Consider the following 14411-nt stretch of genomic DNA (forward strand, 5'->3'; position numbering starts at 1 on the left):
TTGTGGCTATGCTACAATTTATATAGAAATTATAGGATATATGTACACAGATGGAAAATGACAAAAGTAATTAAAAAATCAAAATTGTATTATTTAAAGTGGTGAGATCATAGATTTTTTTTCTAATTAGTATTTTTAACATTACTTTACATCAGAACAAGCTTTACCACTTTGAAAATGTAATTAAAGATACTGGCTGTCTATATAAAAGATCAGGGACCTATCTCAAATTGTTATCCTTATTAGTCCTATCATCTATTCAGATGTATAAATAACTCAGTACATTACATTTATTTTCATAGTGCATATTTCATGCAAGATGGTGCTGCACATAAGCAGATTTACAGATATGAACAAGAAAAAACACTAGATATATTAGTGTTTGTGTGGGTGAGAGACAGAGGTAGTTATTCAATATCCCACTTGAAAAACAAGACAAAAATATTCAGAAAAAAATGCTGCTGATGAAACTGATGAAAACCTGGGGGCTATTTTTATTTTCTATGGACAGTAATACCTCTTTATAACAGTGCTGAGTACTGACAAGTTCTTAATAAAACCTAGACTTATCTTTTAAGCACTCAAACTAAAAAGCAAATAAACATTAAAAATATTTTGAAGGGAATCTTTCTGAAATGTATTACACACTTTCCTACTTTTCTAAATGGTTTCCAAAGAATTTAACCTGACCTTGTCCATTTGACTTAATTTATGGCCCTGCATTGCTAAGCTGGTAGCATGCTTCAGTTTGTGTGATTCTTCTATCTCTTCCTTTGCTATAAAATCACTTATTTAACAAATGACACAAGTCTGTATCGACAGAACCACCTTCTACTTCCATTTGAATTTCCTATGTTCAATTTTCTCAGATCAGGGAAACACTATAACAAGCTTCCTTGAGCTTTGTATATTATGTGATTAATAATGTAAGTCATATGGCTCCTCTGGGGAGTAAAGGGCTTGAGGTTTTTGGAAAGGTCTTTTGATAGCCTAGAGTTCTTGTTCTAAATTCTGAATGTACAACTGTATTCTGAAAGATCAAGCTTGCAGATGCCTGGCTCTCAGATAAGTGTTGAGTCACAGAACTAATGTTATGTTAGAAGCAGAGGGGAACGCCGATGAACAAATTATGTTTTGTTAATGTATGATATTTTTGCTCTTTATATTATGACAGAGGATTAAAGAATCATGAGTAGAATGGAATAGAAGAAATAATCCAAAAAGAACACCAGGAATTGGAATATGTTTAAAGAGGCAGAAAATGGTACATAGAATAATGACATACAGGAGAGAAAGAGAAAAAAAATTTTTTTTAGATTAGATCTTTTATTATTTAATATGTTTGAGGCTTTGTCCATAGCAGTTGAAATGTGGGTTTTTCTGAATGTTCAGCAATCCAACTGAAGGAAAGAATTAGGAGATTACATAGGTTCCAAAAAATGAGAGGCAGAGTCTAGAAAATGATATCATCTCTAAATAAAACTGACACTTAAAATTTTGGTATTCTGAAGCTATTATCAGAGATAACATGGAAAACATGTACAAACTCAAAATATAACAACCTCACTCCCTCTGGCAAAAATAAACCCCAAAACCAAAACCTCTTCTGCTTCTAAGACTCTGAGTAGGAAGTTGAACTAAGAGGCACACAAGTGTACCCTTTAGTGAAGAGACATGAGACAGCATTGATGTAAGAGTTAAGAGATCTGGGTTCCCAGAATTACCTTTCTATAACATGTACAAGTCCTGTCCCCTTCTCTAGACCTTTGTAAAATATCATTCGTAAAATGAAGAATTGGAATAGAACATTGCTATGCTCCTTTTAGAGCTCAAATAGAAAGTCATCATCTTTCACCACTTCTCCCTAACTTTGGAAGAAGTTGATCAATATCTTCTTCTTGAAGCACTTTTTTTTTTTTACCTCCATGACACATGCTCTCCTTGATTTCCAAAATTTCTTTTCCTTAGCTTTGTCAACACTTTCTTTTCTGACAAGCTTCAAATATTAATCAGAGTTCATAAGTTTCATCTCTGAGACCTCTTTTCTTAGATACTCTAAAATCCTAGGTAAACTTATCCACTCTCATTTTTTGATTTTTTTAAGTTAAAATTCAGCATAATAAAGAAATTACATATAGTATAATTTGTAGTTTTACAAATTAGAGAATAATTATAAAGCATATACCTAGGTAAATACCTAGGCAGTAAAACAGTTCTGTGACTCAACACTTATCTGAAAGCCAGACTTCTGGAAGCTCAACCCTTCAGAATATAGTTGTACATTCAGAATTTAGAACATGGCCTCTAGGCTATCAAAAAAAACTTTCCAAAATCCTTAGTAAAAACACTGGCAGTAAAAAACATGGTCTATACTCATAAGCCCCTGAGATTTTGGGGATCATTTGTTTTTGCAGCAAATCTAATACGTCCTCCTCTAAAATTTTTACTTTAAAAACCTATAGGTAAGTTTTATGGCTATCTTGAAAATCACATTCTTTATGGCTTTAATGAAACCTATTCTATAATTTACCAGGGATTAATTTTTTGTTATTTTTGAATATTTGAGAAAAGTTAGTTTAAAAAATCATGCATGAATGATAAATTTTGTTACATAATCTTTGCTTATTCATTATCCTATTATCTGTTAATGTAGTAAATTACATTGATTTTTTTGAATGTTGAACCAACCATGCATATAAGCTTAACTTGGTCATGATAACTTATTCTGAATTCAGATTATTAATACAGCTGACCCTTCAACAATATGGGTATGAACTGCCTGGGTCCAATTACATGCAGACTTTTCCCCATATTTTGCCACCCCTGAGACAGCAAGACCAACCACTCCTCTTCCTCCTCCTCCTTGGCCTACTCAATGAGAAGGTGAAGACCTTTATAATATACTTCCACTTAAGGAATAGTAAATATATTTTCTCTTCCTTATGATATTCTTAATAACATTTTATTTTCCCTAGCTTACTTTATTGTAGGAATACAGAATATAATACATTAACATACAAAACATGTGTTGACTATTCCTGTTATCAATAAGGCTTCTAGTCAACAGTAGGCTATTAGCAATATAGCCTACTGCTATACTGACTCTCAGGTTTTCTGGGAGTCAAAAGTTACAGATGGATTTTGAACTGCATGGGGGTACAGTTCCCCTAACCCCTGCATTGCCCAAGGATCAGCTATACTTAAGAATTTTGTGTTATAAAAAATCAGTGATGCAAGAATGGCTACATCTCTGTGGCAGCTCTGACACACTTGACATCTTATTCTGGCACCCAGATGGAAGGATCAATTCCTATCTGGGATGTTACATTGTTTGGCAGAAGAGTGCTGGAAGAAACTTGTGATGCCTTTTAAATCTTCTGCTTAGATGTATTCAAATGTGTTCATTAAATTCATCCGTACACCATTGGCCCAAACAAGCCCATATATAAGAAGGAAGACAATATTTTCAGGGAATAAAATTTATGACAGAATACAAATTTTAAACAATGTAATTTTAAGAGCAAAGGTAAAGAAAAGGATCATAAGCAATACATACAATCTTAGAAGTTCATATACAGTGCAAGTTTTGGTAATAAATAGGAACAATTTATGTTTTAATTCAAAGGAACAAAAACTCAAGATTTTAGTGTTTTGGAATCAAGATTTGGAGAAGTAGGATTTATACTTGGAAGACGCAAATGGAAGAGTATATTTTATTCAAAACAAATATCCAAATATGAAGAAAGGCACATTAGAACTGCATGTTAAGAAAGTGTATCAGATATCTATTGGTGCATAACAAATTACTTGGAAACATAACAGCTTAAAACAACAAACGTTTATTATCTCCCAGATTCTAGGTCAGGAACACGGGAACAGTTTAGCTGAGTGGATTTGGCTCAGGGTGTCTCATGACGTAATAAAAGTGTTGGCTGAGTTGCAGCTGTCTCACGTTTGACTGGAGGAGGATCCACGACCGTGCCTCCCTCACGTGGCTGTTGGCTGGCCTCAGAGGATCTGTTCAAGACTCACTCATAGCCGCCTCCACAGGGCTGCCTCATAGCCTGCAGCTGGCTCCTCCCAAAGCAAGTGGTCCAGGAGAGAATGAGACTGCACTCAAGAAGGAAGCTATGGTGTTTTCACAATCTAATCTCAGAAGTGGCATCCCAGAATTTCTGCCATACTCTATTCTTTTGAAGCAAAGTATTCAGTCCAGCCTGCAGGCAGGGGGACCATGTGACTACCAGGAGGTGAGGAGCACTAAGAAGTATATATGTTTTTATGAAGATCCATAACTCTGTAAATGGATAAGGTAAGATGCTGAATGACAATCAGTTGATAAAGGATGACTCTCACTTTTTGTTTTATAAATGTGTATCATTTGAATTTTTTAAATGATGATATTATTCTGTTACTAAAGAACAAAAGTAAATACAAATAATGTAAATTGCCAAAGTGATTTTTAAGGTCTTCCATGATGGTGTCTGAATATTCAGGTTTATGTCATTATTAATCTATCACTATAGGGCTTGATAAGAATGTGAAAGACCTGACCTTGGCCCAAGATCCTGACTTTCTACGGGACAGTCCTGATGGATTTGTCCTGCAGAGGGATTGTAATAATTCTGAGAAGAATGTAGACTGGGCTACAGGTTAGCTCTGTGGAGTTGAATTAAGGCTTCCATGACACGGGGGATGCTTCCATTAGGTGAAAACTTGCCAAAAACTTATTCTAATGATGGAGGCTTTTTTCAAACATAGACACTTATAAGAATAATTTGGGAGTTTTTTGGCTGAAAGTGAAAGAAAAGCCAAATCCAGTTGGGTTTTACAGAAGGGAAATGTGTTGGCTCAAAAAACATTTCAGAGGCTGATGTTCAGGGGCTGTTTGATTCATAGTTCCACAATATCATCAGGGTTCTGATTCTTTATCTTAATAGGTTTTTCAACTGTGCACTCCTCTGTGTGTTGATTATTCCTCATGTTTGCAAAAGTGGCAGCATCAAATCTAGAAATTCCAGGGTTAATGTCCTTACATCAGCAAATCCAACAAAAAGAAATAAAGTGTTTTTATACATTAACAGTAAAAAATATTGTTTGCTCTGACTGGGCTAGGCCATGTGTCTATTTCTGATTGGATCATCGCGTTGAGGTGGTGGTATGTTCAAACTGGCTTTAGCTCATCAGAGTTCAATCATAAAGCTGATTTAAGAGGTCGATTTAAAGGGGGTGAATTTTATCCCAAACCCAAGTCTGAGATGGTGTAAATGAGTTATGTTCCAAAATAAATTTAGACTAATATTACCAGCGAATATGAGAACTTGATATTGGGCATCAAATAAAAAAAATTATTACTTTATAGGGACACAGCAATTCTCCACACCAATCGGAATGGCTGTTATTAAAATGTCAAAAAATAACAGATGCTGGCTAGGTTGCAGAGAAAAAGGGATGCTTATACACTGTTGGGAGTGTAAATTAGTGCATCCACTGTGGAAAACAGTGTGGCAATTCCTCAAAGACCTAAAATCAGAATTACCATTCAACTCAGAAATTTCATTACTGGATATATACTCAAAGGAATATAAATCATTCTATCATAAACGATTACAATATGTAATGAACAGTATGTTTATTGCAACACTATTCACAATAGCAAACACATGGAATCAACCTAAATGTCCATCAATGGCAGCATGGATACAGAAAATGTAGTACATATACACCATGAAATACTATGTAGCCATAAAAAAGAATGAGATCATGTCCTTTGCAGGGATATGGATGGAGCTGGAGGCTATTTTCCTTAGCAAACTAACACAGGAACAGAAAACCAGTACCACATGTTCTCACTTATAAGGGGAAACTAAATGATGAGAACAATGGAAATACAGAGGGGAACAAGAGACACTGGGGCCTATCAGAGGGTGGCGGGGTGGGAGAAGGGAGAGGATCAGGAAAAATAACTAATGGGTACTAGGCTTAATACCTGGGTGATGAAGTAATTTGTACAACAAACTCTTGTGACAGAAGTTGAGCTATATAACAAACCTGCACACGTACCTCTGAACTTAAAAGTTAAAAAAAGAATTTATTTTAAAGGATTGTTTTTGCTTAAATTTTATAACTTGGTAGCCCAATTCAAGCAAAAGTAAATAGAAATATTAACACTTATGTAACACTTATGTAAAAATTACATCGGCATTTAGTACTTGAAAGATATAAACTTAGAGGCTTAAAATGTTTGTTTGGCTAGTTCCAAGAGTATTTTTATTTTTCCTTTTTTAAAAAATTTCTTTAAGGGTTATGACTATTTCTCCAGTTTTTCCAGTTATACCCTTTTCTGTGTGTTGACTATTCTTAGCCTGGCTTCTCTCATAGAGGCAAGTATTATAGCAGCACTAATGAACTAAGAAAATATGAGAACAATGTCTCACCAAATAGAGAATATTAATAAAAATATAGGCATTATAAAAATAGAACTAAAAGGAAATTCTGGATTTAAAAGTATACTGAAATAACCTGATAATTTCACTAGAGGATCTAAGCAGCATATTTGAAGAGGCATAAGGAAGAATCAGTGAACTTGAAGATAAATCTGTTGAGATTACCTGGTCTGAGGACAGGTTAAAAATGAAGAAACATGAACAGAGCTTAAGAGACCTATAGAACACAATCAAACATAGCATATTATGCATATTGAGAGTTCTAGAAGAAGAGACAGATTGAGGCCATTTTCAATAATGGATAACAATTAGACATTAGATCGGCAAAGAAGTAGGTGATTTGAACAATGCTATAAAGAAACTAGACCAAAAAGACACCTATAGAACATTCCATCCAGTAACAATGGAATATACATTTTATTTTTTCTCAATTATATTTGGAGCATCCTTCCAAAATACCATGTTAGGTCACAAAACAAACTCAATAAATTTAAAAACACTGAAATAATACAGAGTATATTTTCTAATAACAATGGAATAAAATTAGAAGTCAAAAACAGAAGGAAATTTTTAAAATTCAAAAATGTGTGGAAATTAATATACTCTTAACAAATGGGAAAAGAAGAAACCACAGGGAAATAGATAATACTTTGAGATAAACAAAATAAAAATACAACATGCCCAAACCTATGAGAAGCAACAAAAGCAGTGCTTAGAGGGAAATTTATATCTGTAAACATCTACATTTAAAAAATAAGGTCTTGTCAGTAACCTAAACTTCCACCTTAAGAAACCTGAAAAAAAGGGAAAATGAAACTCAAAGCAAATAGAAGGAAAATAACAGTAAAGATTAAATAAATGAAACAGAGATTAGAAAACAATAGAATCAATAAAAACAAACTTGGTTAAAATAACATCTTCCTTTTACTTAAAATATAAAGACACAGTTTAATTAAAATTAAAATATATGTCATGGAAGTACTAATGATAAGAAAAGTAGAGAGAATATATTAATATCAGGCAAATAGTTTTCAAGAAAAGGGTTATTATAAGAGAAAGGGGACATTTTCTACTTATAAATCATCAGTTTATTAAGAAGACACAACAACCTTTTTTTGTTCATGCAGACTATTAGAACAAAATCTAATAGACATGGTGGCTTATTTATTTCTCACCTTTCTGGAGGCTGAGAAGTTATCCATGATCACTGGTAGATTTGGTGCCTGGCAAGGACCCACTTTCTGGTTCAGAGATGGTGACTTCTCATTGTGTTCACACATGGTAGAAGAGATGAAGCAGCTCTCTGGGGCTTCTTTTATAAAGATACTAATCACCTCCCAGGAGCCCCACTTTCTAATACCAGCACCTGGGTGAGCAGGTTTAACCATATGAATTTTGGGAAAACATAATCATTCAGACCATAGCACAGTCCTAAATAAGAATGAACCAAACAACAATGTTCAAAATATATAAAGCAACAGTTTACAAAACTAAAAAGATAACTAGGCAAATTTATAAATATAAAGATTTTAGCCATCATTCCATTATTGATACAATAAGTAAACAAACAAAAAAGCAAAATCAAAGTCTAGAGAACATGAACAATTATCAACCAGGTTGGTATCATTAACATTCATGGAACACTAAACCTCAACACAGCAGAATATACGTTCTCTTTAAGTGCACATTAAGTAGTTGCTAAGATTGGTCATAAAACAAGTCTCAACAAATCCAAAGAATTAAAAATTCGAGTTTATAAAAACTTTAAACTTCTTATTCATATTAAAACAAATAGGCAAGCTACATACTGGGAAGAAATATTTGCACCATTTATATCTTGCTAAGAACCTGTATCTAGACAATATAATATACTCCTAAAACTCAGTAATAAGAAAAAAGAATCCAATTTTTAAAAAGCAAAAAGTTTGAATAGACACTTCTAAAGGATGGACAGTAAACACATGAAAAAGAGCTCACCATCATTAGTAATCAGGGATATACAAATGACATATCCCACGGAGTAGTGTAAAACAAAAGGACTGAAAAAAAAGAAAAAGAAGAAAGAAAAAAGAAAACAAAAAAAAGACTGACAATCTCAAGCATTGATGAGGATGTGGGGCAATCAGAACTCTCAAGCAGTGCTAACAGGAATATAAAATGGTATAACCAATTTAAAAATCTCTGGAAATGTCTTATAAAATTAAACTCCTACCGCCACTCTGACCCAACCCTCCTAATCCCAATTATCCAACAGAAATAATAATTTTTTTAAACGTCTAAAAACACTTGTACAGGCCTGGCATGGTGGCTCAAGCCTGTAATCCCAGCACTTTGGGAGGCCGAGGAGGGTGGATCATGAGGTCAGGAGATCGAGACCATCCTGGCCAACATGAAGAAACAATGTCTTTACTAAAAATACAAAAATTAGCTGGGCGTGGTGGCGGGTGCCTGTAATCCCAGCTACTTGGGAGGCTGAGGCAGGAGAATTGCTTGAACCAGACAGTCGGAGTTTGCAGTGAGCCGAGATTGCGCCACTGCACTCCAGCCAGGCAGCAGAGCGAGACTCCGTCTCAAAAAAAAAAAAAAAAAAAATTTGTACAACGTGTTCACAGCAGTTCTGTTCATAAAACCCCCAAGCTAGAAACAATCCAAATACCAAATACTTACCTGTAGGAGAATGAATAAACATGAGATACTGCTCAGTGTGAAGAAGAACAAATTAATAATACAAAAGGGGCCCGCACAGGTAGGGGTGAGGAATAAGTGACGTGGCAGAGATTGACTTTGTAGGGATTCAAGACAACTTCTAGAGCAACAAATATTCTGTATCTTAATAGCTTTGTGGGTTATATGGGTGAGTGCAATTTGTCAAAATTAATATAACTGCACTCTGAAAATCTCTACTTATCACTATAAATAATAAAAAGAGAAATCCTTCTTGGAACAAGATAGGTACAAATAAATGTCAACTTATCTTTTTTTGCCTACCTACATATAGTTTTCTCTCACTTTTAAGGTTAAACCAGAGGCAAAGTTAAAAATTAAAAACTCTTGCTAAGGGAAAATAGTAATATTAAGCAAGTAGACAAATACCTTAGAAATTCAACCATAACATGGTGTTGCTTTTGAGCTCCTATAGTTTTATACTGCAGTGATGGAAGTTAGAGTTTATTCAATATAGTTCATGTTTCAAAAATGCATGGTTATTGAAGAGACACTTTATCATTCCCTAACACCTGCAGAGGTTCATAACCCACTCCATTTGTATCTTTAAAGTTCTTGGTGGATAAGCAGAAATGAGGAATATTTAAAAGTTCTTTGACTTCTCACCTGCTGACCCTAAGTGTAAGGAGAATCTTTAATCAAGTAAACTGTAATTCTTTGGGGATAATATTTTATATATTTTATGCTAATGTTGAGGTGGTTTCTGATTCTTTTAAATGAATGCTGACATTCTGAATTGATCTTCAATATTCTATGAGAAATTAATTATTGATAAAACTTTTCTTATTAAAGTCTAAGGTTTTCATTCTGGCAAGATAATTTCTTGGTGGAGACAGCCGACTGCCTTTCCCATACTGATACCAGGCAGTTACTCTCCCTTTTAAAACTTTCAGTAAAGTGTGAATAAAACCACCTTGTTTGATATTTTCAATACAACTGAGATAGCATATATTTTGCAAAAATATTGTATTAATAGTTATCTAATATCAGAGACAAAATATCAGAATATAAAATATGAAAATAGGCAATGAAGTCCTATTATTACTAGTTTTTTCCCTACATTTTGTCTTATGGGAAAGAGAGAATTTTTTTTTTCACCAAGTGCCTTGCAGATTTTTTCTAGCATTCTCTCTGGGTATGTACTTCTCAATCCCTGGTTGACAAATTTGTGAGGATCAGTGATACAGTGAAATCAGAAAAACCTGCTGTGAATTATGGCTGTGCTATGTTATCACAGACCTAAAAATAAAAGCTAAAATTTTAAGACTTCTAAAAGAAAACATGTGCTAATATCTTTGCAACCTAGGGTAGGCAAAGATGTATTAGGAGAGTTTTTTTTTTTTTTTCCTTTTAAAACATAGACATGGAAGACATTTACATTCATCTCCCATTCTGCATATAAACATGACTTCTGATACAAGGAATCACTGTTTTGGCTTGGAAATTCAGCTCCTCTCCACTCTTATTCATGTGATTGGCGTGGAGCCCTGCTCACAAGGAGTGGTGGTGGACATGTGGAACAGATCTAAGCCAATAAAGGTGTCCCATTCCTCTGTCCATCTTGATTTGTTCAGGAATGGGCAGGTGACCTAAACCAAGCCAATCAGAGTAGATCTCTCTTTACATAGAATTTCCAGAACAGGAGGTATTATGTAAAGACTCTGCCTCTTCTTAATTGGGTTTGACTGGGTTTGCAAGTCCTGTAAGCTCTGACAGGCATTTTCCAATCATGAGGAAAGAGCCCTTTGATTACAGATGCAGCATAGAGGAAGTGGAGTTAAGAGACAGAATGAATGAAATTAGATATTGGATGACATTGTTTTAGCCTTTGTTTCCAGCTGGGCCTGATGTCAGATGTAGCCTTGGACTAGTCAGTGGCTGGAAACAATGTATTCCATTTTTTGCTTGAGGCTACATTGAATTGGATTTTTCTATGCAACTGAAAGTATCTGCACTAATATTATCTATGACACAGAATTACTAAGATGTACTCTTGTAAGAATATCTAGAAATCATTTTGTGATATGGCTATGTAGTAAAATGGGGGAAAGTTAGCATTTTAATCCTTTATCACTTATTGGCTGTGTTATCTTTTATTTTTAATTTATCAAGAATTTACTCCCTTTCAGGCACTGTGAGGGTAATTTTAGACATTTTATCAAATTTCTTCCTTCCAACAATCCAATAAAGTAGTTATCTTTAACTCATTTCACAAATAAGGGACCCAGGGTTCAGAGAAGTTATACAACATTCCTCTCATAACATAAAAGGTAAATATCACAGGCAGGATTTGAATCCCTGTGTGTATTACTCCAAATATGTGCTATTGGTTATCACTTAATATCTTTCAGTAGTTTTCATCTGTAAATTGCAAACAATAATATTTCCCACTATTAATATATTACAGCCTTATTGTAGGGCGAAACCATGCAAGTACTTTATAAACTACAAATGACTGTGTCATTTTCGCTATTGTATTATTTTACTTTCTAAGATACAAGGTCTCAAGGTCTCACTCTGTCATCTAGACTGGAGTGCAGTGCCATGATCATGGCTCATTGCCGCCTCAAACTCCTGGCTCAAGCAATCCTCCCACCTCAGCCTTCTGAGTAGCTGGGACTACAGGTGCATATCCCCATGCCCAGGTAGCTATTTATTTTTTATTTTTTGTAAGATGAGGTCTTGCCACTTTCCCCAGACTGTTCTTGAGCTCCTGACCTCAAGGAATCCTCCTGCCTTAGCTTCTTAAAGTGTTGGAATTATAGGTGTGAGCCACTGCACCCAGCCATGTTCACATTTATTAAGCCAGATTTAAATATAGTGATTAACAAGATTGTTTCCATCCTATATGTGTAGTTCATTGATATTTGAGCCCCAGGAAGATGTCTATAAAAGCCATTGTTAATATAAATTTATAATTTTTGACAATTGCTACATTCATTTTTCACTTTTGACCTGCTGACCTATAGATCCTCACCGTATTCCTTTGAAGTAAAGAGCACAAAAGTTTAACTAGCTTTTTAAAAGCATACTAACTTTCATGGTTCCCATTTCTCATGCAAGGAATCAGGGGAGAGGGAAGGGTGGGAAGAGAGTGGGAGTCAATACTTGCAGAGAAAAATACTGGCCATTTTAGTGGAAGGGGAGACCAACCATAAAAGATGGGGAGCTGAAAAAAAATGTGTGATTGAACGAGTAGTCTAGCTGTTCTCAACTCTGACTAGACCATAAAGTTATCTATGGATCTTTTTAAAAAATACATATAACTGGGTTGCACTCTTCATCAATGAAATCAGATTTCATGGCTGGGGCACATGGTATTTTCTTTAAAGCTCCACAGGTGATTTCAATGTGCAGCTAGGCTTGATGGCCCCTAGGATAAAGCAGGAAAAAGTGACACTTTTCTTTACGTAGTTGTATATATTTTTTACGTGTTTTAATAATTAATTTACCTATTAATAAACTTACTAATGTGCATTTATTCACTCATTCATCCTTTTAAACAGTGAATCAATTATCCACCTATTCACCCGTTTATTCAGCCACTCATTTATTTGTTCACTTATTCATCCACTTACTTGGCTAGCCAGTGACCTAGTCAACCCATGCATATTTATTGAGTGCCTAAGCTCTGTGCTTCTAGAGATATAAAAGTGAACATGACAGATGAGGTCATTGCTTCATAAAACTACCAGTTGGTTATGGCAGTGTTTCTCAGAGTGAGTGTAACAGTGCTAAGAAACATTACTTCTTTGGCTTATGAAAAGATATTTTGAGAAACATTTGCTTATGGACTAATTCTGAAGTTATGGAAACTTTTGCTTTAATGTTATTTGCATGGAATTGTAATATCTCTGTATCACTGACACATTTAAGGATACTGGAAATTCTAATTTAAAATTCGCTGAAGTGAGATGATGACTGATGGAAATAAATAATGCTGAATTACCACTTCCCTCCCACTTTATACCAAATAAAGTTCACCTTAATATCTTCAGCTGAAAGATAAAAGAGAATGATTATAAGTAGCTTTGGTTCAATTCTTAGTTCCTTTTCTGTTTGCAGATATTTCTAATCTTCATTAAAAGGCACATTTATATATCTTTTAACCCATTCAATTAAAACTTCTCTAACCTCCCACCTCATCAAATTGAGCCAAATCTGGAGTTGATAGGCTCTGTTTTAGCTGCTACTTATTTGTACTGATTCACTGAGCCTTAATATAGCTCATGTTAACAGAGTCCATGGTTACTGTTTTGAGTGAGAACAGGATATAAGTACTACATGTTCCTGGACATCAATACAAGCTTGATCTTTCTTAGTTGCTAAATCCCAGAATTGTTAAAGATGTTTTACTCTGAGGGAATAGTGTACATTTTAAAGTGGTTGTCTTTACTTTTTAAAAAACTATTTGTCAAATGTCATCACAAATGAACAATGTCCAGATTGTACCAATTTTATACACTCTTAAATTTTTAAAACTTCCCACTTTCATGTGTAATTTCCTGGAACAGGAGCTTCCCAACTGAGTTGCTAGAAATGTCCTTGATAGGTGCTGTGGCCTTGACAGCTTAAGTTCTTTAGAATTATTTTGGCTTACTTTGCCTTCATGAAATCTGTAGTTTTTAAATGTAAGTATTTGTTAAATAATTTTCAGTGTAAGCATAATATAAGCACATATTAAGTTTCTTCCAATGGCAAAAAAATCATACAAAAAAGTAAAAATCTATCACCTTCATTTTTCCACTACCAATCCCATTCCATAAAAAGTTAACTACTGTTGTTTCTTAAGAACATCTAGAGATTTTATATGTAAATAATATTGTAGCCTAGATTCCCCCAAAAAGGTTAAGAAAGAAAGAGATAATTTATCTAACCAGTATCTACCTCCATTTGATCAAAAGTTTACACAACAAACTGTAACTCCCCTAAACTTCCCAGTGGAGCATACATGGGTGCTGGGCAGTGACTGTTGGGGAAGCCTCAGGGCAGTACATGCAAAGTGTTTGGTAGGGATATGAAGTAAAATAATGTCAAATTAAGCCTCATCCTCCATGAAAGCTTTTGCATTTTCCACTGCCCAGTGAGAAATGCAAAAGGTTTCATGAGGAAAAAGAGTCAAGTGAGTCTAAGAGTCTGAAGTGGTACATAGAGATGTTTAACATATTTTGTGTGTAAAGTTGTGTGTGTGTGTGTGTGTGTGTGTGTAAATTTAAGTACGGAAAAACTATGAATTTTTTT

The 14411-nt window shown here is 34.5% G+C and overlaps 1 protein-coding gene across 2 annotated transcripts in view; it reads left to right on the forward strand.

Moving 5' to 3' along the window:
- GALNT13 (polypeptide N-acetylgalactosaminyltransferase 13) overlaps window positions 1-14411 on the forward strand; it is a 1388282-nt gene that overhangs the window by 239329 nt on the left and 1134542 nt on the right. Inside the window, exon 3 of one of the 2 annotated variants that reach the window (NM_001422883.1) lies at window positions 3854-4312. The exons of the other annotated variant lie outside the window; for it this stretch is intronic. The gene's annotated coding sequence lies outside the window, so the exon portion shown is untranslated. The remainder of the gene's footprint in view (window positions 1-3853; window positions 4313-14411) is intronic. 2 annotated transcript variants of the gene reach the window in all.

Source organism: Homo sapiens, chromosome 2 (genome assembly GCF_000001405.40).
Source record: "Homo sapiens chromosome 2, GRCh38.p14 Primary Assembly".
Taxonomy (NCBI): Eukaryota; Metazoa; Chordata; class Mammalia; order Primates; family Hominidae; genus Homo; species Homo sapiens.